Source organism: Homo sapiens, chromosome 7 (assembly GCF_000001405.40).
Source record: "Homo sapiens chromosome 7, GRCh38.p14 Primary Assembly".
Taxonomy (NCBI): Eukaryota; Metazoa; Chordata; class Mammalia; order Primates; family Hominidae; genus Homo; species Homo sapiens.
Window position 1 is genome coordinate 11,367,851 of NC_000007.14, and position 27,549 is coordinate 11,395,399.

The window sequence follows — 27,549 nt, forward strand, 5'->3', positions numbered from 1 at the left end:
CTATGATGCCAGTCTCAGTTACTGTTTTTCTTTCTTCAACTGCTCTGTTACTGTTCTGTTCTTGTCAGCATTGTGCATTCTAAGTGTTTAGAGTAACATATATCTGGCAAGTGAAATGAATATAAGATATATTTATGAGAGTAGAGTACTGACAGCTTTAAGCTATGGATGAGTTAGTTGGTTTTTTAACTCTAGTGGCCTCTTCATAATTAATCCACTATTTATTATTATCTACTCTTTAGTCATAAAACTTGTACTTCACTAATTCTTTTGTTAATTTATTCACCCAAAAAGAAATCATAATTCTTACTATGTGTTGGATATTATTCCATGCGAGGAACAAAACAAAGACCTGGCCTCTCTCATTGTGTGGGAGAGAGAAAAAAACAAACGACAGGAAGATATGTAATGTCAGGTGCCATGAAGAAAACAAAAGAAGGGTAGGAGAATAGAGAGTGATGGGATAGTCAAGGAAGGCGTCTCAGAGGGGGGCCATTTGAGCAGAGACCTGCATGAAGTCGGGGAGCAGCCATGCCTATATCAAGGGGAAGTTTCTAGGTAGAGGTAGGAAAAAATGTCAAAGCTCTGAAGAGAATGTATAGCTTAATAGAAGGTTGGGCTCCAGCTTCATCACTTCCAGTAACACTGTGCTCAAGGGTGAGCATGAGTGGGAATGAGCATGCATAGGGGCTAGCTAGGATAGAGAGAGAATATCCAGCCTCACAACAGGCAGGGGGACAGTGAGGTGGCCACATGGTGGGGGAACCTCTGCCTGAGATGACAACAAAAAAGATTGTGGGGAAATAGAATCCCAAAATTTATTTTTCCTTCTTTACAAAAAACGTTAAAATTTAGGGCCAGGTGAAGTGGGTCATGCCTGGCCAAGGTGGGCAGATCATGAGGTCAGGAGATGGAGAATATCCTGGCTAACACCAGTGAAACCTCCTCTCTACTAAAAATACAAAATATTAGCCAGGCGTGGTGGCACATGCCTATAGTCCCAGCTACTTGGGAGGGTGAGGCAGGAGAATCGCTTGGACCCGGGAGGCAGAGTTGCAGTGAGCCGAGATTGCACGACTGTATTCCAGCCTGGGCAACAGAATGAGACTGTCTCAAAAAATAATAAAATAAAAATTAGTTGATGGCCTAAAATTAACAACATATTGGCATCATCAGAATTGCCATTTGAAAATTATATGCTATAGAAGGTCAAGTCCAAATATCCAGACGTATATGAAAAGATGAAAAGCTGCTCAAATTTGCTACTAGTCAAGGAGATGAAAGCAATGAGAGGGATTGATGTTTTGATTAGCCTGGATTGGAACTTTGATAACTCTGATACTTTGATAACTCTTATTGTTATCAAAAAGCTATGGGATTTGCCTTAGGTGTTACCAAAGACAGGATGAAGGACATTTGATAATGTTTGAAAACAGTAATAGGAAAAAAAAAATGAAGCTGTTTCCTAATTGTATCTACTAAATTCACCCATTTCTCTCTTCCTCTCTCTCTCACTCTCTCTGTTCCATCTCACTCCCCACTATCATATTTATAATGTCATATGATCAGGGAGAAAAATATGACAGGATACATATCAGATTGTTAACTTGAGTTAACTTGGCTGGGAGATGCTATGGAAGAAGATGAAAGGGGGAGGGGAAGTCACATAAAAGTACTGCAATACCAGAAACCCTGACTACATTTATGCATTTTTGTGTATGTACAATATCTTTTCAGAGTAACTGACACTGATGGGAGGTATAAATTGAAGTGTGTTGTGGAATATATACAGACTTTAATGAAAGAATCACTAGGGACACAGAAGTAGCAAAAATAAAATGTAGACCAGTAATATTCATATTTTTGTTTGTAGGGCATAAATTGGAATTGCAAAATAATAAATGAAGTTAGCTATTTGACTATGAAAGTCCAGATTTCTAGAAAAAAATCTGTGTGATACATTGAAAATTTTTTTCACCTAGTTTCACTTGTAATGAGTAATACAGAAAAGAAAAAGACTGGAAATTACCATTTTTTCATCAAGCATGTAGGCTAGCTACATGTTCTGAGTGGTTCACAGATTGAGGGCTTAAATGGTTCCCTACTTACTTACATTTTAGCAAATAGCTATTTCAGAAAATGTTTTAACTGCAAACTACCCCGGAAGTAACTTGTCTTAAGTTGTGTGTCCCTTCCTGAATTTGTTAAGGCATAAGTTTCTGCTTTGACTTTTAGGTTTGGTTTTTTGTGGGTAGACACAGGGACAAGAGACAGTGAGGGATGTGCCTTATGACTGATTGGGTGGGAAAAGCTGTACTCTGTTGTAGAGAGTTTCCCCATCCTCTGCTGCTGCCATTTTTGAATTGACTGGAAACCAGGAGGTCCCTTGTCCATGATTCACCTGGTGGCCTCAGCCAACTTTCAAAGTAAAAGTTTGCATTTCTTGAACTTTCTAAATTGGAGTTGTTATACAACCCAGGAAAGGGCAATACAGTAGGTAAAAGGATTTAGGTATTCACTGGAAAAAAATTTTAATCCATATTTAAGAAGCAATTGGTGCAAATCAAAACACAGATACACATGATTAGAATGAAAATGATTTCCGTATTTATGTTTGTCAGCAATATAGTTATTTACAAATAACCCATATGAAAATGTAAAAAAGCATATTACATCTTCACATGCCATCTGTATTGACTGAATAAAGCTTAGTGACATTATTTGCAAATCTGTAGTTAATTGTACATAGACATTTTGTGCGTTAAAAAGGAAATGTACATAATGTAAAATAAATTACATTACGCAATTTACAAAGTAATATTAACAAAAATTCTTAGACAGCTGCCTCCTTATTTAAACAAAATAAATATTCAGGTAGTTAAATTAACATAAAATACACATTTAGGGAATAATAATTTATAGAAAGACAGATTGCAAATTTTAATAAAGTTATATTTTACAATGATAGATACTGATCTCTTCAAATCTGTGTGATAGAAATGGAGAAAAAAAGTACCAGAAAAGGAATCTAAATGTTTACTTTCTAAAAATAAACACAAACAGATTTCTGAAAAATAGGGAAAAGTTTACTTGAGGGTTAAAAGTAGGTAATCTAGAAACTATGGCTTAAAAACAATAAATCTACAAAACACAACAAGACTGACAATTATATTCTAAATAATATAGAGATTTTTGATCACTGAAAACATGACTCCCACAAACTAAAGCTCTTCATATACTGCCCATTTTTAAGATCTGACTTGGTAGAAACACAGAAAAATAAAAATGCAAAATTAACTGTTTAGCATTAGTTTCATTCATTTAATAATGTAGACATAACCATTTTTCATTGTCCCTGCTAGATATAAAATTATTATAACACACTGCAAACCATCCTTTTTATAAATGGATAACTATTTGCTTGGCTCACACACCAGTTTCTGATACCTGAAATCCTGTCCTGCAGCCAGGGCCACCTGAGGGCAGGACCTGGGGAGACCCTTATTCCCAGAACAAGCAGATGTAGTTCTCACAACTAAACTAGTCCCAGGAAAGATCACATTCTGACAAGATTCCTCACAGATTTGCTCAAGGACTACTGTTTTTTCAACACCCTCAATCTTACAGTGGAAATAGAAGAAGAACCCACACTTGAATTTGGTAATATATTTATAAACAGGAGATCCCAGATCATTTGGGAATTGTGCTTCTCATGTACTATTGAGACCCACGTCAGCTTTAGAACAGGCTCTCCCTTCTGTATGGTACTGAAAAGTACAGTCCTCCCTCACTGTCTTGTGGTGTGGAATGTGAACAAAGACTCGAGATGGAGGCAGGAGGATATGGGATGGTCTAAAGCAAGTGTAGGCATGGACATTTTTACAGAAAAGGGCTTTTTTTTTTTTTTTTTTCCTGCATGCCTTCCACATTTTTCCTTTTCCCTTTATTCATTTCTTTGACCAGTGGATTTGGTGTAAATCAGGATGTTCACACTCTGAGTGAGTGACACTTTGATTCTAATAGGGAAGGAAATATAGGAATTCTTTTTTTTTTAATTAAAAAATTGGGCATGTTTAGTGGGAAGTAGGTAAGAATAGCTGTCAAGAGTAGAAAGAGACCAAGCAGAGAAAATCAGAAAGGGCCAAGGATACAGGTTGTTGGGGGAGGTAAATAAGTGTGTGAGAGGTCTATTCAATTTCTGTGAGAAGGAAGACGTGAATTTACCTTGAAATGCCCAGGAACTTAACAGGGGTCTGATTAAGCTACAATGACCACTGCCACCTACCTGAGGGTGGGGCAGGGAAAAATCAAACTCCTAATACTGTGGCCTAAAGACATGTACATTACGTAGGGGAAAATACTAACCCCATCTAAAAACAAACCTAGAGTAAAAGTCAACATGTTTCAGTGCTATCTTCACTCATTAAGCATTTTTTCCTTCTTTTGGATGTCTGTCTTAAGTACCTATGTATACAAAAGCCATTACTTTTTTTTTTTTTTTTACAATGCCTAGCAGAATGTCTTATATGTCAATAAATATTTGCCTTGTTAGAAGTAATTTGTGCTTTGTTATAAGTAATTAAAAACAAGCTTTTATGCACTCTTTTTAAATTCACTTAAGCTACACCGTAGTATCCTCAAAAAAGGCTTTGAAATTAAGATTACTGTCCACATATTGGATTAGTTATTGATGAATAAGCAAATCAGCCCCTTTCAAAAGAGATCAGTTAGTCCTATTCTACGTGGTTTCTAGTGAAATAGTCCAGCAAAATCATATAATACTGTGTCAAACTTTTTCTGCTCTTCTTTTTTTAAAAACCAAACAACAGACCTTCATTCTAGGGAACAGCAGTTCTACATCTTTTACCCCCTCGGTGAGGTAAAAGTGTCAATAGAGAAGTTACTACTATATTCCCCTCCCAAATTTTTAGAAGGAACAGTAAAAATAAGGTTTTGATGAAATTCCAATAAAATATTTAACTCATTATTGTCTCATGTCAGAAACAAAAATAAGGCCATTTTCATGTTATAAACATGAATATAATAACCTTCCCTTTGTCCAAAATAGCCAGATTGCTACGTTCTCCTCTTTCCACCTTTCTAACGAGGTTATCCAGTATTTATTTATCCTAACAAACAGTGACCTTCCAATATGTTCTCTAATATTAGGTCATGTTGAACCTAATTTCCTCTCTCTCATATATATGGGTGTGTGTGTGTGTGTGTGTATATATATATATGCATGCATATATGCTGTAAAATCTAATTAATTTATGAATAAAATGTATTTTTCATAACATTCTATAATTTTGATTTGCTAATTTAATTCTTATAGGTAGGATGATACTAATCTTTTCTGAATTAATGACATTTTACAATACCTTAAATATAGCTTTAGTAGGTATTCTATCCCACATTTCAAAATTAATAGGTGTTGCACACATTTCATAAGAGGGTTAGCTGAATTTTTCAAGTAACCACAATAGAGTCTTTCTTAACTATTTTGGACAAATGGAGTTTATTTTATTCAAAGAGATCAACTTTAGGATTATCTGGAAGACCCCTGATTATATATATTGACAATCACAGTTTTAAAGTAACAATATTATTTTTTCTTCCTCTTTAATAAAACAGATAAAATGGACTTTGTTTTTATGGTTTTCTTTGTTTAAATCCTTGCTTTAAAGTAAAATTTTCATCTTCCTGACTACCTGTTCTCTTTGAAATGATTTACATTTCCTAATATAGTGAATATTGAATGAGGAATTAGCGCTTACTGCATTTAGTTCTTATTGAAATACATACAAATATTTTCATTTTGGGGACAATGACATCCTAACCTGATGTCTTTTGTAATCTTTGCAAATACTCTAATGAACAGCAGGGGGAGTTCATACTCCAGTATGAAGGTAAAAATACCTTCTAATCCAAAACACTTTTACAGGAACACAGCTGTTTAAGATAAAATAGCATGTTAGTTATATTATTTTTCAAATATCCTGAAAAGCTAGTGTCCTCTCTCACAAAGGTTGTTGCAATAATGTTGCCTGAAAATGGTATTGCTTTTTAATGGCACCTTTTGAGTTTTCTTTTCATTTGCAAGAAGTCTGCTGAGTTAGTTAAATATTGTTCCACTGTGCCATTCCCAGGGCTACATCTGTAGAAAATACAGCTACTTCTGATACAGTGGGAAATGTAATGACTGTAAATTCTCACCTTTGAAAAATGAATGAAAACGAAAGATGACACCATGGAGAGCTAGCATTAAAAAACATCCAGACCAGGGGTCAGCAAAATATGACCTGCAAAGGTGGCCTACTGGCTGTTTTTGTAAGGGAAGTTATATAGGAAAACAGTTATGTTCATTCTTTTATTTACTAAGATTGCATTAGCAGAATGGCAAAGTTGAGAAGTTGCAACATAGACCTTGTGGAAAATATTTTCTATATAGTCCTTTACAGAAAAAGTTTGCCACTCTTGCTCTAGATATGCAATGAAGTCTTGGATAAGATATTTATTCTTCTCTTTTAAAATTTTAGTTTTGAAATCATACATTGAAGAGAGAGATTGCTTCAAATTTTGCCAGTGAGAAAGGCAAAAGACTATGGATTTTGAAATAACTGCCTGCAAGACAGACATTCAATCTGAAACTGGGAAATCAGAGAGAAAGAAAAATCAACATATAATTTTGATTTCCTTTAGTTACAAAGGTCATTGATACATTATTTATTTTCTCCATCTGCTCAAAATTAAAAAGACATCCAGTTCCTTTTTCTTTTTTTTTCTTAACAAAGATAACAAATATAAAAATCTAGTCATAAACAGCCTTCAAAGAACAATTACAAACCAACTAGAGGAATCCACCTTTTAGAGGGTTAAGGGGTTAGGGACTTCAACACTTAAATTACCGCCATGTTGTCAATTTCACAATGGCTGCAGTGATGAGGAAGTGTGTGTACAGCAGGTGTAATAGCTGATTTCATCTTGCTGCCATCCAAACTGAACTTTACTCTCTTCAGGATACAAGAACTTGCAAATGTCTTCATGCCACTCTTGGCACAGATGTCTTCATCCCACATGAAAAGAGGCAGTTTCTATGGCAATACTGGTTAAGCGCCTATCGTGCTGCACTAATATAGTGCAAAAATGTGCCTTCCATATAGCAAAAAAGATGCAGGCAACCAGTTTGAAAATCAGGGAAAGTAGAAACGTATTGTATTAACACAAGTAAATTAGTTTTCCAGACAATTACCACTATAAAATACTGAACTTGAGGACTCGTTCTTCTAAGACACTAGTACTTGTCCAGCATTCTTACTTTGGAGAGAGACAAGAAGTCTTAAAAAAGAGGCTTTGTCTCTGAAATGCAGGTCAATAAAATCTACCATCGACCACCAAGATGCTGAATTTATTCAGTGGATTTTCTGCTTAGCTTAGAGTTTATTTGTTATGCATTGTTAAAATTGCTTATTAGCAAGTACATAATCTGACATAATGTGTGTCATTCAACTGAGTACACATGTTAATTTGACCATAGTATTGTGGAGATCTTGGTAGAAACTCTTCATGCTAGGAAGTTTTATGGATTAACACTGCAGACGGTCTTGTATCAGGCATCCTAACTGGCCAATTCCACCATTATTTTTTAGAGATGAAAGTGGTTTTTCAGTCGGTAGATTTCAGAAAAGATGACATAAAACTTTCAGAATGCAGCATGTATTCAGCTAAATCTCCTATAATTCTCACGGTTGATGGTCTGTATATAAGTGGTACTGTCTTAAATATCTCCAGTGGCAGTATGATTTTCACTCTTGTCTTTATGATGCCATTTTTAAAAATTAAAATATATTTTAATCCACACAGTTTGGATACATTTGTTGTGGCCTCTGGACATCTATGAAGTCAGAAAGCCGAAACTGGTTGTTGCCAGGAAAAGTTATATGTTACATGTCGGCATCTCCATCATAGGCTAAGGTTAAAGGTTTCAGTCGGTTGTTTTGCCTTCTTTGGGGTTTCTTTGGCTTTTTGCTGTAAAAAAATTCGGAATTAGGAGAAAGAAAATCAGTTTCTAATTGTAAATTTGATTGCTTTAAGCGAAAAAAAAGTAAAAGCAAATTGATAAACTGAAATTGCCTCGTTGCCTGCGTTGCCTAAAGTCTATCTACCTTAGAATTTGATTTTCTGATCTTGAATTTCAGTTTTATGCTTTGAATAAACTCTAAGTAAACTTCAAGTGTTTCACTACCCTACAAAAGATAAATTATCCAAGTGGGATTCTTTTAGTATTAACAACAGAAATAAAATCATAGTAGGGTCATTTTCATTTGGCCAGAAACCTTTATAAATAATGCATAATTTATAAATTATACATGTTTTAGAAGATACTTGAATATGATTAGGTATTACTGTAATATCTTCCTCCATTAGTAATTCAATATAAAAATCTACAGTTCACCATATTGAGTACAAAGCAATATTTTCTTGAAAGTATGCAAGAGAACATACTCGAGAAGATGACCTGCAGCAAGCTCTTGCTCATCTTTAGAAACGAAATGGCTCAGATTTGGTAGCTTTTAGCCCATCTAGGACTAAAGCCATGTTTATTTAGAAATTCATGTGAACACCAGATAAATGTAGAGTACTTATTTGAGACATTAGTTTGCTGTTTCTGTGTTACGATTAAGTATCTCTTTGGATTTTTAATTATTTAAACACTCACCAAGCTAGATAAATCATGGAGACAATAAAGATGAGTAACACAAATGCCCCAGCTGCTACACCGTAAACCCAGGTCTTTAGTCTCCCATCTAAGAAGAATGGATATTAGTTATTAATTTACATTAGTCTGGTATACATGAGGCAGTCTTTAACTATGACCAATGATCAGTCATATATGACCAATTTCTTTCAAAACCCGAAAAGAATTATTGCTTCAGCACAGTTAATGATTAATGCAAAGCTGCTATTATGAGTTAGATTCTGCTTCATTAAAGATAAGCTATCAAGGAAAACTGAACTGAAAAATTATAAATGTTTGACTTCAGATTTCAAGTTTCTTTGGCTAAACTTCAGCTGCCTTTCATCTCAATTTTACTTCAAACTCAATACATGTGTAATGCTATATAAACATTCTCTTCTGATTTTCAGTGTATTTTGAGAATTGCAATGAGAAGAAAAGATGAAAAATGCAATTTTAAGAAAGTTTCTACAAACTCGAGTTAATGCATATAGGTATTTAAACAAAAACTTTGTCATTTTTATTCCAGGTAAAATGAAAGTGAATATATTTAAGATTTTATGGAATTAATAATCTTTTATCTAGTCTGCACTTACAATGTGTTTTAAAATTGGCTGACAATGTCATTTTCAAAAACAACTGGTTTGGTTAACATATAAAAGGATCTATAAATAATTTTTTTTCTACCTTTTCTATTATATGGAATCAGACATAACAGGAACTTTTGTAATTTGGGTTTCTGGTCTCATCTTTGAACTCCTCAGTTCTATGCTCCGAATAAACTTCAAGCACAAGATGTTATTAATGATATTGGCTAATTTAATTTGATCCTCACATCAACATATATTTTCTGTTGCAATTAAATATTTGATCTTAGTGTTAAAATTATAGATTGGGCAAAATTGACCTCACACAGACTCTGGTTTATTCAATATTTGAAAGGCATCAAATGGAAATTGGTACTGTGGAATTTTTTTGCCCGGAGTTAGATCAAGTTAGAGGTTCATTTGCTGGGAATAAACTCAATTAATATTCTAAATATCCTTTCTTTCTAATCCTAAAGCTTTCATTTTTTAAATTTGAGCTCAGTTTAGAATCAAAAGAGCTGTTCCACGATTGAGGATCTCTGTTGAGAGTTTCTTCAACAAATGTTTTTTGGGGTTTTTCAAAATCAAAGAATATCTAAGTTTTCAGAACATGCACCTTTTAAATATTTTAAAATTTTAACTTTGGGGAAACTATATATAAAATTTAAAATAATGACAATAATATTCTTTTTTTTTTCAAAAGGACTGGTTTTGATCTGAGGAGATCTGCTTCAATTCTTAGTGAAGGTCAAAATTGCTACTGGTTGTCTGCTAGTCCATTGTCTTAAACACTGAGGGAAGAGTTTCCCATGCTTACACAGATAAGTCAGCTTTGCAAAATAAATCATACTATCAGCTAAATAAGCCAATTAAAGCAGGAATAATGTGATTAAAAGCAAATCACCCAAACACTTAAAATATCTTAAAAATCCAATATTTATTCTCCAATAAGGGAAAGTATTCAGACTTAATGCATAGAAATGGAGATGTGCTAGCTATGCAGATTCCTTCCATCTTTTCTCATGTTTCTAATGGCATTTTAAAGTAGACTATGCCTGGCTCTGCCTGGAGATTACTTCATAGACTAGTAGTTCTTCCAGGTTGTGAGAAAAAGTGGCATATTAGCTGCTTTATAATCCATGTAGCACATTTTCAAGCACCAGGTTAGTTCTAGGGATGAGCATATGATGAAATCCAACTGAGGAGGGAAAGTGTGCAGAGTAGAGAATAGCATATCATGAGGTATTCAAGCATTTGCCTGTATTGGCTTTGCATTTATTACCAGATACATTAAGAGCTGTCTGTGAATGTGAAAACAAATTTGGATCATCCTATCCAGAAGGGAAGGCTCCATTGTCTCCCTGTTTATCTGGCACTAGTACAGATTCCAAGTATTTGAGTATGCTGACTTTTAGGGCTAATAGAAACTGGTCTAGCTACCACGTGTGCCCTGGCACAGAACTGCATTAGTGATGTTTTTATTTAAGGGTCAAACTATTACTGTTCCTATGATCAAATGAAAAATTCTGGAATGTCTTTATAGTCTCCTTTATCCTAGTTCTGAATGACAACACATTTTTTAAAATTCATGTTTCTAACTTTGTTCAATTTGAAATTAATTATACTTGTAATTTTTGGACTGGAATTGAATTGAATTATATTGATCCAAAATTTTTTCTCAGAAGAATGTAATTTCATTTCTCTGAACTTCAAACATGAGTTATTTTCCATAATGATAGTAAAAAATTGAAGAATAGATGGCACTATCAGAATAAATGCATGTAGATAAAATAATCAATAGCTCATATAAAAATGCTTTGCTCACTTTTTTAATCCTTTGGCATTGCCTAAAAGAACTAAAGGTTTCTCTTTCAACACTAGTCTAGTCAGTTCACCTGGCCCAAATGGCTGTAGAAACCAGGTCCTTCCCCGTCCTGCTGGGTTACTGGAGGGTTGGGTTGGATGTACAGCCCGACTGGTTTTCACATCTCCTCTTTTGTCCTCCATGGTGGGTAATACCACCACGGGGATAAGTGTGCATTGCTCAAGGGTGCTGTTAGAAGACATGACTTCAGTGTACCCTTCTTCACAATGGCATGTTTTTGTCTGCAGGAGAACAAGAAGATTTATACTAGCCATGCAAGGAATCTTTGGAAGTCTAACAGACCTGACTTGAAGAGAAGGCTTTAAACAAGGTTTGTTTTGGGAATTACTATACATAATTCCTCTATTATTTTTAACTACAAAGAAACATACTTTTGGCATTATATGAAAATGTATTCTAAAGGTGAAAGCAAGTGAAGTCAGGACTTTTTAGATTGATAAAAGGAGATGTCTAAAATGGGATTTTTATGCCTCAAGACATGCTTTCTTTGGAGGAAGATAAACTGCATAAGAGACAGTGGGGTGACACATGATGGAGCTGGCTTGTCTGCCCTGATGAATTTTCACATACCTCGCTACAGTACGAGTGGGGTTGACTACACGGTGGGTTACAAGACCTGTCGGCATCAGGCTGGCTCATCACCAAGCAGCCCCCTGCGGAACAGAAAATCATGTTTTGACAAATAATATATTTTGCTATGATGAAAATACACTGTGGTTAGTGACTTGTCTTTGAATCTTGAACCACCTTGGGAATCCCAGGAATTTTTCTGTCAGTGGTTGACTGTGAAATATTTGGTTAACCTTGACCACCTTATGTAGTGACTCCAGGCCCTTTTTACCCAGGGGAGCTAGCTCAGTGCCTGGTACTCAGCAGGTATTCAACAAGCATTTGTTGAAAGAATGATTTTATAGCTGCTATTTTGAAAATACTAATTGCACACAAGCTTTTTCTGTCAGGAGCACATGAATCCAAGTCCAGCAATTGAAAAGCTGATTTCATTTCAAGTTAAAATTCTTTCTTGGAGATTCAAAACAATAGTTTTCACGTACTTTGAAATAACTCTTCAGCTCTTTATGTTAAATAAATGTTTTCTTTAAATAATGCATATTTCTTTTTCAGAAAAGTCACAATTTCTGCTAATTCATGGTGTTTTTTGGATATAGAGAAGAAAACAAATGTATCTACGAAATCATTTGTTTTGCACTATGGTTTTAACTTGATATTACAGCTGTTTATCTCGTTTATTTTCAAGTGTAGTACCAACTGTGCCTAATTTGTCTCAAGTGAGGTTTTAAGATGGAAATAGATGTCATAAAAAACATTGGTGACGTGAAGGAAGCTCCTATTTTCAAACTATACTTGTTCAGTTTAACAGAATTTTAGCAAAACAAAATTTTTTCTTTATTTATGGAACTGATGATTCTCTGGAATTTAATCACAGGCGCCTATTGCTAATTGTCTGTGTTTCTCTCAATATTATAATCACAAAATACTCATAGAAAAATTGTCACAGAAAAGCAGTTAGTCATTGCAAGGCAATCGCAGTTAATTGGCCACACTGAAGTTATTATTAAACACACACACACAAAGCAGTATTTTGAGTTTCTTACAAGGACAATTCATAAATTAAAGCAATTGATCAAGATAGGTAATATACTTTACATGCTTGTCTATTTGTCATAAAGAATCTCATCTCTCCTAAAAGATGAAAGAAGAATGCATATAGAGCTTAACACAAATCATTTACACATTGGCCTTTTGGTACTGAATAGCATTAGAAATAATCCATTGTACACTTTGCTGAATTGAAAAGAAATTAAAAATATGATTTTATAGGTAAGTCTTTTAAAATTCGACTTACCTTTGCATTGGGGGAATAGCCCCAATTGCAGTGGAAAAAGAGTTTTGAATATGTAGAAGAAAAGTCAGGTAAATATTATTTGCATCCATTATTGAAAAAAAACTGCAAACTTACAGGATCATCTAGAGAAGCTGTTAAATTTTCTTTGAATAGTTTAAAAAAGAATGGAGACATTCGTTTCCAATCTCTGAGCTCAATGGATGACTTCTGTAACACCTCCTCATTCAGAAAGCCTGTCTATCCCTCTCAGGACTCTTCTCACTCCATACCTCTTAGAGTGGGGTAGATGGAGCAGATTTTTCTCCCAAAAAATAATACAGTGAGAGAGCAAAGGGTTTCTACTAGATGTCTTTTCTTTGTTCCGTATGTGACCACAGGGAGTTGTTATTATTAAGGGTTTCTTGAGAGAGCTTTCTCATGTATAAAATCATATCTTCACAAGAAAAAAATTGACATCCTGATCCAGCTCCCATATGGAGGAAATAAGTAATTGGGTTTCAATAAATCCAGGTAATTTAAAATTCAATATAAAGATGGATAGTTTTCAAAAACCATATTGATCCTTGCTCCTGTTTCTTACTGTATATATTAAAGTTAAATTTCTAAACAAACATCACTCAGAGGCATCCAAATGCACACTGTTTTTTCCCCCGCAGCAGGGTCAAAACAGCAGCAAGTAAGCAGGTCTGCCTGAGCAGTTAACTGTCAAGACTCCTGCTGTTGCTATGCTATGGCAATTCCTATAAGTTAGATTTATAAAAAGAAATTGCTTATGGAAAGGCTTAGATTTCTGGGTCCATGTGCCTGAAATTAAGGTTCTGGTTCTGACTTGTATTTCTTTCTAGGAAATTTGCTTGGTGGTTCACTACCTATCTTGAGCCAAAGTCTCTTCCTCCTTCAAGGGGTCCTTAGGATCCCTCACGCTTACAGGCTTCAGATAGGCTTTTAGTAATTCCACACTAGAGTAGTTCTTTGGAGGTATATGTTGGTCGAAGTACAATCAAATAAAGTTCTTCCTTTGGATTTCTTCTTTGGATATATAATAATTTGGGGATGCAGGCACAGTAGGTCAGCTGCTCAGATGGTCTGGGTTTGAAATTTACCAGTAGGTCTTCCCTATTAATTAATTTAAAAATCTCTAAATCATAGACTTCTGAATTTAAGCAAGGTATTTGGATTTGTATAATCATATTCCCTTGCTGGTATTTTTGGTCTGCATTTATATTGCCTTCAAGGCACAGAAGCAGAAAGTCAAAAAAATTGATTTTTAAACATATAGTAAGTTACTCATATATAAAATTTCTAGAAAAGATCTGAAAATTATTTATAACAATTATTTATTAGAATTAGATAGTATTTTAATTAAGTTTCAGCAGCAATACCTAAAAAGGCTAGGTGAGAGATAATTTGAACCACCTATAAAATAAAATAATTTGTCATTGGTCACCAGATGGGTATATACAGCTTAGGCATCCTGAATCCCAAACAGGCTTTGAATACTGAAAGAGTAACTTTGTTTCCTTAATTATTTTCTTCAACCAATCACATGTGTGTTACAGGAAGATTTTCAAAGGACAAAGAGAAACTGGAGGTTTACCTGTTACATTTATACCATCTGACCTTTGACACCACACTGTTCGGGAAGAGCCCTTCCAAGCACTGGCCATCCATTTATATTCATAGCACTGTCCATCTGCAGGGAAATAATAAACATTAGCAGAAGCATTCTGTTACCCAGAAGGACAATCATGGGGATAGAGTATTAATAACATATTACTGAAAAGTAATAAGCTCATCTCTGATGATTCAAATGTCAATTTATTGTCCTGAAGTTGCCATGCATATGTTTAAAATTGCAGCTATATACCTCAATCCCAACTAATTTTCCATGTCTGCTGTCACACTACCTGGTGGGAACCTAGGTTTTTAATTTAATTTTTAAAAAATATTATGAAATAAATATGCAGCCAGGTATAGAGAATAACTGTATATATATATAGTTATATATATATATATATCTCCCATCATGCAATTTTAACAAATATTATTTATCCATATTTGCCTCAGTTTTCATTAGCTTGTTGATGAATAAAACATGAGATATATAATTATATTCTTTTCTGTTCTGATCACCCTCCCTGTCTGTCCAGCAATACATACTATTCTGAAGATGTATGACTTTCTTTGCCATGCTTTTAATTTTTTCACTATACACACACGCACACACACATAATTACTATATACAGAAATGATATATGGTATTACTTTCATACAGTCATAAATTTTAAAAATGTATCCTATTCTGTGTAGCATTCTGAAACTTAGTCAATGTTACAGGTGAAATACTTCTAAGTGATTTTAAAAAATGTAGTACAGTCAGTTTATTTTAACGGCTACATAGAATTCCATTGTACTACATAACACAGTTTATTTAGCTATTTTTCTATTAGATTATTTTTAATTTTGTTATTCAAACAATGCTCTGAAGGTCAACTGTGTGCAAATGGCCTGGTGCTTCTTTAAATTACATATCTAGAAGGGAAATTTCTTGGTATCACTGTATGGCTAGCTGAAACTTTATTAAATATTGCCCATTTTTTTCCTGCAAAAGGTGACAATTTACAAATCCATCAGTAGTGCATAAAGACTGCCATTGCTCTAAACACTCATGAAAATTTATAATTGCCAGATTTTAATTTTTTTTGGTTAGTCTTTTGGGTATGGAAAGTTATCTTGTCATTTTAAATTAAAGTTCCTTGATTACTAAAGTTATTGAACAGTAACAAAAATGTTTCAGGACATTTGGATCTCCTGGTATGCAAGCTGCTTATTTAAACATTTGGCCTTCTATATTTTTTCTCATTGAATTGTAGAAATTCTTCATTCTGGAACAGTGATTCTTAAAGTGCGGTTCAGAGACCCTGGGAGACACTGACATTCTTTCAGAGTGTGAGTGAGGATTTCCTCTTTGCAACTACAATCTGTGTAAGGTTGGATTTTCTTTACATACATAAACTAAAATAAGATTGCAATAAGATGAATGCAGAAGCAGATAAGAGAATCCAGCTGTCTTAAGTTAGACTTCACAGAGATTTGCAAAAATCCAAACAAGACCACTCTCGTCATTAAAGTTATTTTCCATTTGTTATGGTGAACTTATTTTGCAGGAAATTTGTTATTTATAGTAACATACAATTTTGTTTTTTGATCATTTTAAATAAATTAATAAATATTATAAGTTTTCTATTTTTAAAATTATACATGTCAGAAAAGAACAGTTCTTTCAGGTCCTCAACAATTTTAAGACTATTAACTTGTTTTGGATCAAAAAGTTCTAGATTTGCTATTCTAGACATGAATCCTTTGAAATTAATTGGCTTCATAAGTATATTTTTCAAGTTTGTGGCTTGTCCTGTAACCTTCTACTGTGTAGAAGTTTTAAATTTTAATTTAAAGAAATTTAAAATTTTTTCATTTTTGTTTGTGCTTTTGGTGTCATATTTAGGAAATCCTTCTCTACCTTGAGTTCATGAAAATATCCTCTTATATTTAGTATTTACAGTTTGTTCTTCATCTTTAGGTCTATAATTTATTGAAAATATAGTTTTGTATGTGATGTAAGCTAAAGATATTTTTTAAAACTTGATATGGATAACACATTTTGGCAATATTATTCATCCACTCATTCTCCCACTGACTTTCCCTCTGCCACTTACTTACCTACATAAGAATTTGTCGTGGAGATTCTCTTTTCTATTCTTTTAGTCTAATGGCTTAATTGTTGATCAATTACCCTTTTTAACTATTGATGCTTTAGAGTAAGTCTTGATATAAAGCCATGTAAGTCCCTTGAATTAGTCTCCCACTTTTCCTTCTTAAAAACATTCTGGGATCTTCTTGGCCTTTAACTCCTCTGACTTAATTTTAGGATCAATTTCTCAGATTACATTAACAACCTGTTCAAATTGCATAGATTTTATAGGTAAATCTGTATAAAATTTACATGTTATAATATTGGGGCTTTTTATTCATAAACATTTTCACCAACGTTTTAGTTTCATATCTTCCAATAAGATTTTATAATTTTTCATACCTATCTTAGATGATTTTGGTTGCATTTATTTTTTATAGTTTTAGTTTTATTGTCAATGCAGCTTTTTCCAATTCAATTTTATAACAGTTTTGCTGGTTAAAAAAAAAAAAAAGACTATTTATTTTGTGTATTGGTTTTTAAATTGTACAATGTTTCTGAATTTTCTTACTTCCAAACAGTCGTCTATAAATTATCTTGATTGTCTAAAATGTGAAATTCATATACTATGAGAATGATAATTTTATTTTTTCATTTTCAATTCTTAAACTTCTGATGACACTTGGCTGGAACCTCCTTCACTAGGTTGAAAATAAGTGGCAACAGTGGTATCCTTGTTCTGTTATTGATTCCAAGAGCCTGCCTCTAATGTTTCCCCATGTATTATGATGTTTGTGTAAATTTTGATAGACCTTATTTATTAAGTAAAAAGATTCTCTTCTAGTTCAAGTTTGGTCTACAAGTTTTTATTGTGAAAGTGAACTGAATTTTAGAAATACCTTTTAATGTGTATAAAAAATTATATCTTTATTTCTGTTAATGTGATAAATTACATTAAGAGATTTTATTAATATTTGGTTATCTTTGTATTTCAACAATTATTTGGTTATCTTTGTATTTCAACAATTATAGTCATATTATTAAATATTAATTTGGTTAGCTAATATTTTATTTTTATGATTTTGACATCTACTTTCATAAGTAACTTTATTTTTAACTGGTTTTACTGCCAAGGTTATACTCTCATAGTAACTGGGGGTTTGTTACATAGGTATACACGTGACATGGTGGTTTGCTGCACCCATCAACCTGTCATCTACATTAGGTATTTCTCCTAGTGCTATCCCTCCCCCTTACCTCCACCCCCTCACAGGAACCGGTGTGTGATGTTCCATTCCCTGTGTCCATATGTTCTCGTTGTTCAACTCCCACTTATGAGAACATGTGTGGTGTTTGGTTTTCTGTTCTTGTGACAGTTTGCTAAGAATGATGGTTTCTAGCTTCATCCATGTCCCTGCAAAGGACATGAACTCATCCTTTTTTATGGATGTATAATATTCCATGGTGTATATGTGCCACATTTTCTTTACCTAGTCTATCATTGATGGGCATTCGGGTTGGTTCCAAGTCTTTGCTATTGTGAACAGTGCTGCAATAAACATATGTGTGCATGTGTCTTTATAATAGAATGGTTCATAATCCTTTATGTATATACCCAGTAATGGGATTGCTGAGGCCAATGGTGTTCCTGGTTCTAGATCCTTGAGGAACCACCACACTATCTTCCACAATGGTTGAACTAATTGATACTTCCACCAACAGTGTAAAAGCGTTCCTGTTTCTCCATATCCTCTCTAGCATCCATTGTATCCTGACTTTTAAATGATCACCATTCTAACTGGTGTGAGATGGTATCTCATTGTGGTTTTGATTTGTGTTTCTCTAATGACCAGTGATGATGAGCTTTTCTTCATGTTTGTTGGCTGCATAATGTCTTCTTTTGAGAAGTGCTCATTCATATTCTTTGCTCACTTTTTGATGGCATTGTTTTTTTCTTGCAAATTTGTTTAAGTTCTTTGTAGATTCTGGATATTAGCCCTTTGTCAGATGGATAGATTGCAAAATTTTTCTCCCAATCGGCAGGTTGCCTGTTCACTCTGATGATAGTTTCTTTTGCTGTGCAGAAGTTCTTTAGTTTAATTAGATCCCATTTGTCAATTTTGGCTTTTGTGCCCATTGCTTTTGGTGTTTTAGTCATGAAGTCTTTGCCCATGCCTATGTCCTGAATAGTATTGCCTAGGTTTTCTTCTACGGTTTTTACGGTTTTAGGTCTTGGGTTTACGTCTTTAATCCATCTTGAGTGAATTTCTGTATAAGGTGTAAGGAAGGGGTCCAGTTTCAGTTTTCTGCATATGGCTAGCCAGTTTTCCCGACACCATTTATTAAATAGGGAATCCTTTCCCCATTGATTGTTTTTGTCAGGTTTGTCAAAGGTCAGATGGTTGTAGATGTGTGGTGTTATTTCTGAGGCCTCTATTGTGTTCCATTGGTCTATATATCTGTTTTGGTACCAGTACCATGCTGTTTTGGTTACTGTAGCCTTGTAGTATGGTTTGAAGTCAGGTAGCATGATGCCTCCAGCTTTGTTCTTTTTGCTTAGGATTGTCTTGGCTATGCGGGCTCTTTTTTTGTTCCAGATGAAACTTAAAGTAGTTTTTTTCTAATTCTGTGAAGAAAGTCAATGGTAACTTGATGGGGATAGCACTGAATCTGTAAATTACTTTGGGCAGTATGGCCATTTTCACAATATTGATTCTTCCTATCCATGATCATGGGATGTTTTTCCATTTATTTGTGTCCTCTCTGATTTCCTTGAGCAGTGGTTTGTAGTTCTCCTTGAAGAGGTCCTTCACATCCCTCGTAGGTTGTATTCCTAGGTATTTTATTCTCTTTGTAGCAATTGTGAATGGAAGTACACTCATAATTTGGCTGTTTTTCTGTTATTGGTTTATAGGAATGCTTGTGATTTTTGCACATTGATTTTGTATCCTGAGACTTTGCTGAAGTTGCTTATCAGCTTAAGGAGATTTTGGGCTGATATGATGGGGTTTTCTAAATATACAATCATGTCATCTGCAAACAGAGACAACTTGACTTCCTCTTTTACTATTTGAATACCCTTTATTTCTTTCTCTTGCCTGAACGCCCTGGCCAGAACTTCCCATACTATGTTGAATAGGAGTCGTAAGAGAGGGCATCCTTGTCTTGTGCCAGTTTTCAAAGGGAATTCTTCCAGTTATTGCCCATTCAGTATGGTATTGGCTGTGGGTTTGTCATAAATAGCTCTTATTATTTTGAGATATGTTTCATCAATACCTAGATTATTGAGAATTTTTAGCATGAATGGGTGTTGAATTTTGACAAAGGCCTTTTCTGCATCTAATCATGTGGTTTTTGTCATTGATTCTGTTTATGTGATGGATTATGTTTATTGATGTACGTATGTTGAACCAGCCTTGCATCCCAGGGATGAAGCCGACTTGATTGTGGTAGATAAGCTTTTTGATGTGCTACTGGATTCAGTTTGCCAGTATTTTGTTGAGGATTTTCGCACCAATGTTCATCAGGGATATTGGCCTGAAATTTTCTTTTTTTTTTTGTTGTGTCTTGGTATCAGGATGATGATGGCCTCATAAAATGAGGTAGGGAGGATTCCCTCTTTTTCTATTGATTGGAATCGTTTCAGAAGGAATGGTACCAGCTTCTCTTCGTACCTCTGGTAGAATTTGACTGTGAATCCATCTGGTCCTGGACTTTTTGTGGTTGGTAGGCTATTAATTAGTGCCTCAATTTTAGAACTTGTCGTCTATTCAGGGATTCGACTTCTTCCTGGTTTAGACTTTGGAGGATGTATGTGTCCAGGAATTTATCCATTTCTTCTAGATTTCCTATTTTATTTGTATAGAGGTGTTTATAGTATTCTCAGATGGTAGTTTGAATTTCCGTGGGATCACTGGTGACATCCCCTTTATCATTTTTTATTGCATCTATTTGATTGTTCTCTCTTTTCTTCTTTCTTCGTCTGGCTAGCAGTGTATCTATTTTGTTGATCTTTTCAAAAAACCAGGTAATGGATTCATTGATTTTTTAGAAGAGTTTTTTGTGTCTCTATTTCCTTCAGTTCTGCTAGCTTTTGAATTTGTTTGCTCTTACTTCTCTAGCACTTTTAATTGTGATGTTAGAGTGTAAATTTTAGATCATTCCTGCTTTCTATTGTGTGCATTTAGTGCTATAAACTTCCCTCTGGTACTTTGAGTCTGTGTTCTCATTGCTTTCAGAGAATATTTACCCAGTAAGTCATTCAGGAGCAGGTTGTTCAGTTTCCATGTAGTTGTGCAGTTTTGAGTGAGTTTCTTAATCCTGAGTTCTAATTGGATTGCACTGTGATCTCAGAGACTGTTTATGATTTCTGTTCTTTTGCATTTGCTGAGGAGTGTTTTACTTCCAATTATGTGGTCACTATTAGAATAAGTGTGATGTGGTGCTGAGAAGAATGTATATTCTGTTGATTTGGGGTGGAGAGTTCTGTAGAAGTCTATTAGGTCTGCTTGTTCCAGAGCTGAGTTCAAGTCAAGTCCTGAATATCCTTGTTAATTTTCTGTCATGTTGATCAGTCTATTATTGGCAGTGGTGTGTTAAATTGTGTGGGAGTCTAAGTCTCTTTGTAGGTCTCTAAGAACTTGCTTTATGAATCCGGGCGCTCCTGCATTGGGTGCATCTATATTTAAGACAGTTAGCTGTTCTTGTTACATTGATCCCTTTACCATATTTAATGCCCTTCTTCGTCTCTTTTGATCTTTGTTGGTTTAAAGTCTGTTTTATCAGAGACTAGAATTGCAACTCCTGCTTTTTTTTTTTTTTTTTTTTTTTTTTTTTTTTTTTTTTTGCTATTTGCTTGGTAAATATCCCTCCATCCCTTTATTTTGAGCCTATGTGTGTCTTTGCACGTGAGATGGGTCTCCTGAACACAGCACACTGATAGGTCTTGACTCTTTATCCAATTTGCCAGTCTGTGTCTTTTAACTGGGGGCATTTAGCCCATTTACATTTAAGGTTAATATTGTTATGTATGAATATGATCCTGTCATTGTGATGCTAGCTGGTTATTGTGCCTGTTAGTTGATGCAGTTTCTTCATAGTGTTGATGGCCTTTACAATTTGTTACGTTTGTGGTACCAGTTGTTCTTTTCCATGTTCAGTGCTTCCTTCAGGAGCTCTGGTAAGGCAGGCCTGGTGGTGACAAAATCTCTCAGCATTTGCTTGTCTGTAAAGAATTTTATTTCTCTTTCACTTATGAAGCTTAGTTTGGCTGGATATGAAATTCTGGCTTGAAAATTCTTTTCTTTAAGAATGTCGAATATGGGCCCCCACTCTCTTCTGGCTTGCAGGGTTTCTGCAGAGGGATCCACTGTTAGTCTGATGGGCTTCCCTTTGTGGGTAACCTGACCTTTCTATCTGGCTGCCCTTAACATTTTTTCGTTCATTTCAACCTTTGTGAATCTGATGATTATGTGTCTTGGGGTTGCTCTTCTCAAGGAGTATCTTTGTGGTGTTCTCTGTATTTCCTGAATTTGAATGTTGGCCTGTCTTGCTAGGTTGGGGAAGTTCTCCTGGATAATATCCTGAAGAGTGTTTTCCATTCTCCCCATCACTTTCAGGTACAACAATCAAAGGCAGATTTAGTCTTTTCACATAGTCCCATATTTCTTGGAGGCTTTGTTTGTTCCTTTTTATTCTTTTCTCTCTAATCTTGTCTTCTCACTTTATTTCATTAAGTTGATCTTCAATCTCTGATATTGTTTCTTCTGCTTTATTGATTTGGCTATTGATACTTGTGTATGCTTCACGAAATTTTTGAGCTGTGTTTTTCAGCTCCATCAGGTCATTTATGTTGTTATCTAAACTGGTTATTCATGTTAGCAATTCTTCTGACCTTTTTTCAAGGTTCTTAGCTTCCTTGCATTTGGTTAGAACATGCTCTTTTAGCTCAGAGGAGTTCGTTATTACCCACCTTCTGTCAATTCGTCAAACTTATTCTCTGTCCAGTTTTGTTCCCTTGCTGGTGAGGAGGTGTGATCCTTTGGAGGGGAAGAGGCATTCTGGTTTTTGAAATTTTCAGCCCTTTCGAGCTAGTTTCTCCCCATCTTCGTGGATTTATCTACCATTGGTGTTTGATTTTGGTGACCTTCGGATGGGGTCTCTGAGTGGACGTCCTTTCTTATTGATGTTAATGCTATTCCTTTCTGTTTGTTAATTTTTCTTCTAACAATCAGAACCCTCTGCTGCAGGTCTGCTGGAGTTTTCTGGAGGTCCACTCCAGACCCTATTTGCCTGGATATCACCAGCAGAGGCTACAGAACAGCAAAGATTGCTGCCTGTTCCTTCCTCTGAAAACTTCATCCCAGAGGGGCACCTGCCAGATGCCAGCCAGAGCTCTCCTTTATGAAGTGTCTTTTGTCCCCTACTGGGAGGTGTCTCCCAGTCAGGAGACGTGGGGTCGGGACCCACTTGAGGAGTCAGTCTGTTCCTTAGCAGAGATCAAATGCTGTGCTGGGAGATCTGCTGCTCTCTTCAGAGCCATCAGGCAGGGATGTTTAAGTCTGCCTAAGCTGCACTCACAGTGCCCCTTGCCCCAGGTGCTCTGTCCCAGGGAGATAGATAGGAGTTTTATCTATTAGCCCCTGACTGGGGCTCCTGCCTTTTTTTTCACAAATGCCCTGCCCAGAGAGGAGGAATCTAGAAAGGCGGTCTGGCCACAGCAGACTTGCTGAGCTGTTGTGGGCTCTGCCCAGTTTGAACTTCCTGGTGACTTTATTTACACTGTGAAGGTAAAACAGCCTACTCAAGCCTCAGTAATGGCAGACGCCCCTCCCCAGCTCGAGCATCTCAGGTCAACCTCAGACTGCTGTGCTGGCAGCGAGAATTTCAAGCCAGTGGATCTTAGCTTGCTGGGTTCTGTGAGTGTGGCACCTGCCCAGCCAGACCACTTGGCCCCCTGGCCTCAGCCCCCTTTCCAGGGCAGTGAATGGTTCTGTCCTGGCAGTGAATGGTTCTGTCCTGCTGGCATTCCAGGTGCCATTGGGGTATGAAAAAAAGCTCCTGCAGCTAGCTAGGTGTCTTCCCAAATTGCCACCCAGTTTTGTGGTTGAAACCCAGGGCCCTGGTGGCGGAGGCACCAGAGGGAATCTCTTGGTCTGCGGGTTGCAAAGACTGCGATGTATCTGGGCTGGAGTACACCGTTCACAGTCTTTCACAGCTTCCCTTGGCTAGGGCAGGGAATCCCTGACCCCTTGCGCTCCCCAGGTGAGGCAATGCCCCACTTTGCTTCAGCTTGCCCTCCGTGGGCTGCACCCACTGTCCAACGAGTCCCAATGAAATGAATTGGGTACCTCAATTGGAAATGTAGAAATCACCCATCTTCTGCATTGATCTCGCTGGGATCTGCAGACCGGAGCTGTTCCTATTTGGCCATCTTGCCCAGAATCTCAACTTCTTTTTTTAAGATTTCACATAGGGAGATCCTGGATCCAAGATGGCCAAATAGGAACAGTGCCAGCCTGCAGCTTCCAGTGAGATTGATGCAGAAGGTGGGTGATTTCTGCATTTCCAACTGAGGTACCTGGCTCATCTCATTGGGACTGGCTGGACAGTAAGTGCAGCCCATGGAGGGTGAGCTGAAGCAGGGTGGGGTGTTGCCTCACCTGGGAAGTGCGAGGGGTTGGGGAACTCTCTCCCCTAGCCAAGGGAAGCCATGAGGAATGGTGCATTCCGGCCCAGATACTATGCTTTTCTCATGGTCTTTGCAACCCACTAGACCAGGAGATTCCCTCGGGTGCCTACACCACCAGGGCCTTGGGTTTCAAGCACAAAACTGGGTGGCTGTTTGGGCAGACACTGAGCTAGTTGCAAGAGTTTTTTTTTCATACCCAAGTGGGGCCTGGAGCACCAGCAGGACCGAACTATTCACTCCCCTGGAAAGGGGGCTGAAGCCAGGGAGCTGAGTGGACTAACTCAGTGGATCCCACCCCCACAGAGCTCAGCAAGCTAAGATCCACTGGCTTGACATTCTCACTGCCAGCACAGCAGTCTGAAGATGACCTGTGACTCTCAAGCTTGGTGGGAGGAGGGGTGTATACCATTATTGAGACTGGAGTAGGCAGTTTTCTCCTCACAGTGTAAACAAAGCTGCTGGGAAGTTTGAACTGGGCAGAGCCCACCACAGCTCTGCAAAGCCCTTGTAGCCAGACTGCCTCTCTAGATTCCTTCTCCCTGAGCAGGGCATCTCTGAAAGAAAGGCAGCAGCCCCAGTCAGGGGCTTATAGATCAAACTCCCATCTCCCTGGGATAGGATAGAGCACCTGGGGGAAGGGGCAGCTGTGGGTGCAGCTTCAGCAGAATTAAACATCCCTGCCTGATGGCTCTGAAGAGAGCAGTAGATCTCCCAGCACAGTGTTTGACCTCTGCTAAGGGTCATACTCTCTCCCGAAGTGGGTCCCTGACCCCTGTGTCTTTGACTGGGAGATACCTCTCAGCAGGGGTTGACAGATGCCTCATACAGGAGAGCTCTGGCTGGCATCTGGCAGGTGCCCCTCTGGGATGAAGTTTTCAGAGGAAGTAACTGGCAGCAATCTTCGCTGTTCTGCAGCCTCCGTTGGTGATATCCAGGCAAACAGGGTCTGGAGTGGACCTCCAGCAGACCTGCAGCAGAGGGTCCTGACTGTTAGAAGAAGAAAGGAATAGCATTAACATCAATAAAAAAGGATGTCCACTCAGAGACCCCGAACTGAAGGTAACCAACATCAAAGGTAGATAAATCCATGAAGACGAGGAAAAACCAGCACAAAAAGTCTGAAAATCCAAAAACCCAAATGCTTCCTCTCCTCCAAAGTATCACAACTCTTCGCCAGCAGGGGAACAAAACTGGATGAAGAATCATTTTGACAAATGGACAGAAGTAGCCTTCAGAAGGTGAGTAATAACAAACTCCTCTGAGCTAAAGGAACACGTTCTAACAAACAGAATGCAGGGAAGCTAAGAACCTTGAAAAAAGTTAGATGAATTGCTAACAAGAATAACCAGTTTAGATAACAGCATAAATGACCTGATGGAGCTGAAAAACACAGCTCAAAAATTTCGTGAAGCATACACAAGTATCAATAGCCAAATCGATAAAGCAGAAGAAACAATATCAGAGATTGAAGATCAACTTAATGAAATAAAGTGAGAAGACAAGATTAGAGAGAAAAGAATAAAAAGGAACAAACAAAGCCTCCAAGAAATATGGGACTATGTGAAAAGACTAAATCTGCCTTTGATTGTTGTACCTGAAAGTGATGGGGAGAATGGAACCAAGTTGGAAAACACTCTTCAGGATATTATCCAGGAGAACTTCCCCAACCTAGCAAGACAGGCCAACATTCAAATTCAGGAAATACAGAGAACACCACAAAGATACTCCTTGAGAAGAGCAACCCCAAGACACATAATCATCCGATTCACAAAGGTTGAAATGAACGAAAAAAATGTTAAGGGCAGCCAGATAGAAAGGTCAGGTTACCCACAAAGGGAAGCCCATCAGACTAACAGTGGATCCCTCTGCAGAAATCCTACGAGCCAGAAGAGATTGGGATCCAATATTCAACATTCTTAAAGAATTTTCAATCCACAATTTCACATCCAGCCAAACTAAGCTTCATAAGCAAAGGAGAAATAAAATTCTTTACAGACAAGCAAGTGCTGAGAGATTTTGTCACCAGCAGGCCTGCAAGAGCTCCTAAAGGGCACACTCAATATTGAAAGAAAAAACTGGTACCAGCCACTGCAAACATGTAGATCAGTCAGAGTGGTGGGAGAAACTATAGGGAAAGGAGCAGGCCTTCGGAAAGGTGCGAAGGCTCTGCCTGGCTTTGCGGGAGAATAGCCAAAGGCAGCTGTTCTCTGACCCTGAGGCAGAGGGCAAGGAGTAGGTACAAGGGAGTGTAGGGGAATTTATCTTAAACAGGCTTGTTTACTTGTGTTGACCAAGAACCGATCTTTGATCACCCGCACACGTGATGTTCCTTGAAAGGGGAACAATAAATGTTAGTTACCCACAGATTGTGTTTGCTCCAGGCTTTTGGAATCACGCCTACACTGAATAAAAGCATGCAGCTCCAGCTTCTCGGGGCTGCACTTTGGCAGCTATAGCCAGGCAGACGCCTAGCTGCTCTTACACTGCATACCTGTGGCCGAGTACTCATTTCATTCATCGGTCGGCCAGGGTCTGTGGGACAGACCCAGCACAAACACATACCAAATTGTAAAGACTATCGACACTATGAAGAAACTGCATCAACTAATGGTCAAAATAACCAGCTAGGATCACAATGACAGGATCAAATTCACATATAACAATATTAACCTTAAATGTAAATGGGCTAAATGCCCCAATTAAAAGACACAGACTGGCAAATTGAATAACAAGTCAAGACCCATTGGTGGGCTATATTCAGGTGACCCATCTCACGTGCAAAGACACACATAGGCTTAAAATAAAGGGATGGAGGAATATTTACCAAGCAAATGGAAAGCAAAAAAAAAAAAAGCAGGGGTTACAATCCTAGTCTCTGATAAAACAGACTTTAAACCAACAAAGATCAAAAGAGACAAAGAAGAGCATTACATATGGTAAAGGGATCAATGTAACAAGAACAGCTAACTATCCCAAATATAGATGCACCCAATGCAGGAGCACCCAGATTCATAAAGCAAGCCCTTAGAGACCTACAAAGAGAGTTAGACTCCCACACAATAATAGTGGGAGACTTTAACACCCCATTGTCAATA

General features: G+C 36.9%; 1 protein-coding gene across 6 annotated transcripts in view, besides 1 other annotated feature; it reads right to left on the reverse strand.

The window, feature by feature from the left end:
* Nucleotides 2,515-27,549, reverse strand: part of THSD7A (thrombospondin type 1 domain containing 7A) — a 461,834-nt gene continuing 436,799 nt past the window's right edge. For 3 of the 6 annotated variants that reach the window (NM_015204.3, XM_047420039.1, XM_047420040.1), the window contains 5 exons: nt 14,671-14,766; nt 11,780-11,862; nt 11,220-11,430; nt 8,720-8,807; nt 2,515-8,028 (listed from right to left, as the gene is read on the reverse strand). In NM_015204.3, coding sequence (NP_056019.1) covers nt 7,944-8,028; nt 8,720-8,807; nt 11,220-11,430; nt 11,780-11,862; nt 14,671-14,766 — 563 coding nt within the window. In that variant the 3' untranslated portion in view covers nt 2,515-7,943. The remainder of the gene's footprint in view (nt 8,029-8,719; nt 8,808-11,219; nt 11,431-11,779; nt 11,863-14,670; nt 14,767-27,549) is intronic. The other 3 variants (XM_006715659.2, XM_006715660.2, XM_006715662.2) reach the window with 3 other exon arrangements.
* Nucleotides 24,602-25,102: an enhancer, noted in NCBI's record as "H3K27ac hESC enhancer chr7:11432079-11432579 (GRCh37/hg19 assembly coordinates)". NCBI's record gives its function as "activates a minimal SCP1, AML or CMV promoter by ChIP-STARR-seq in naive H9 embryonic stem cells {active_cell/tissue: H9 hESC(naive)}" and the evidence as "EXISTENCE:reporter gene assay evidence [ECO:0000049][PMID:30033119]".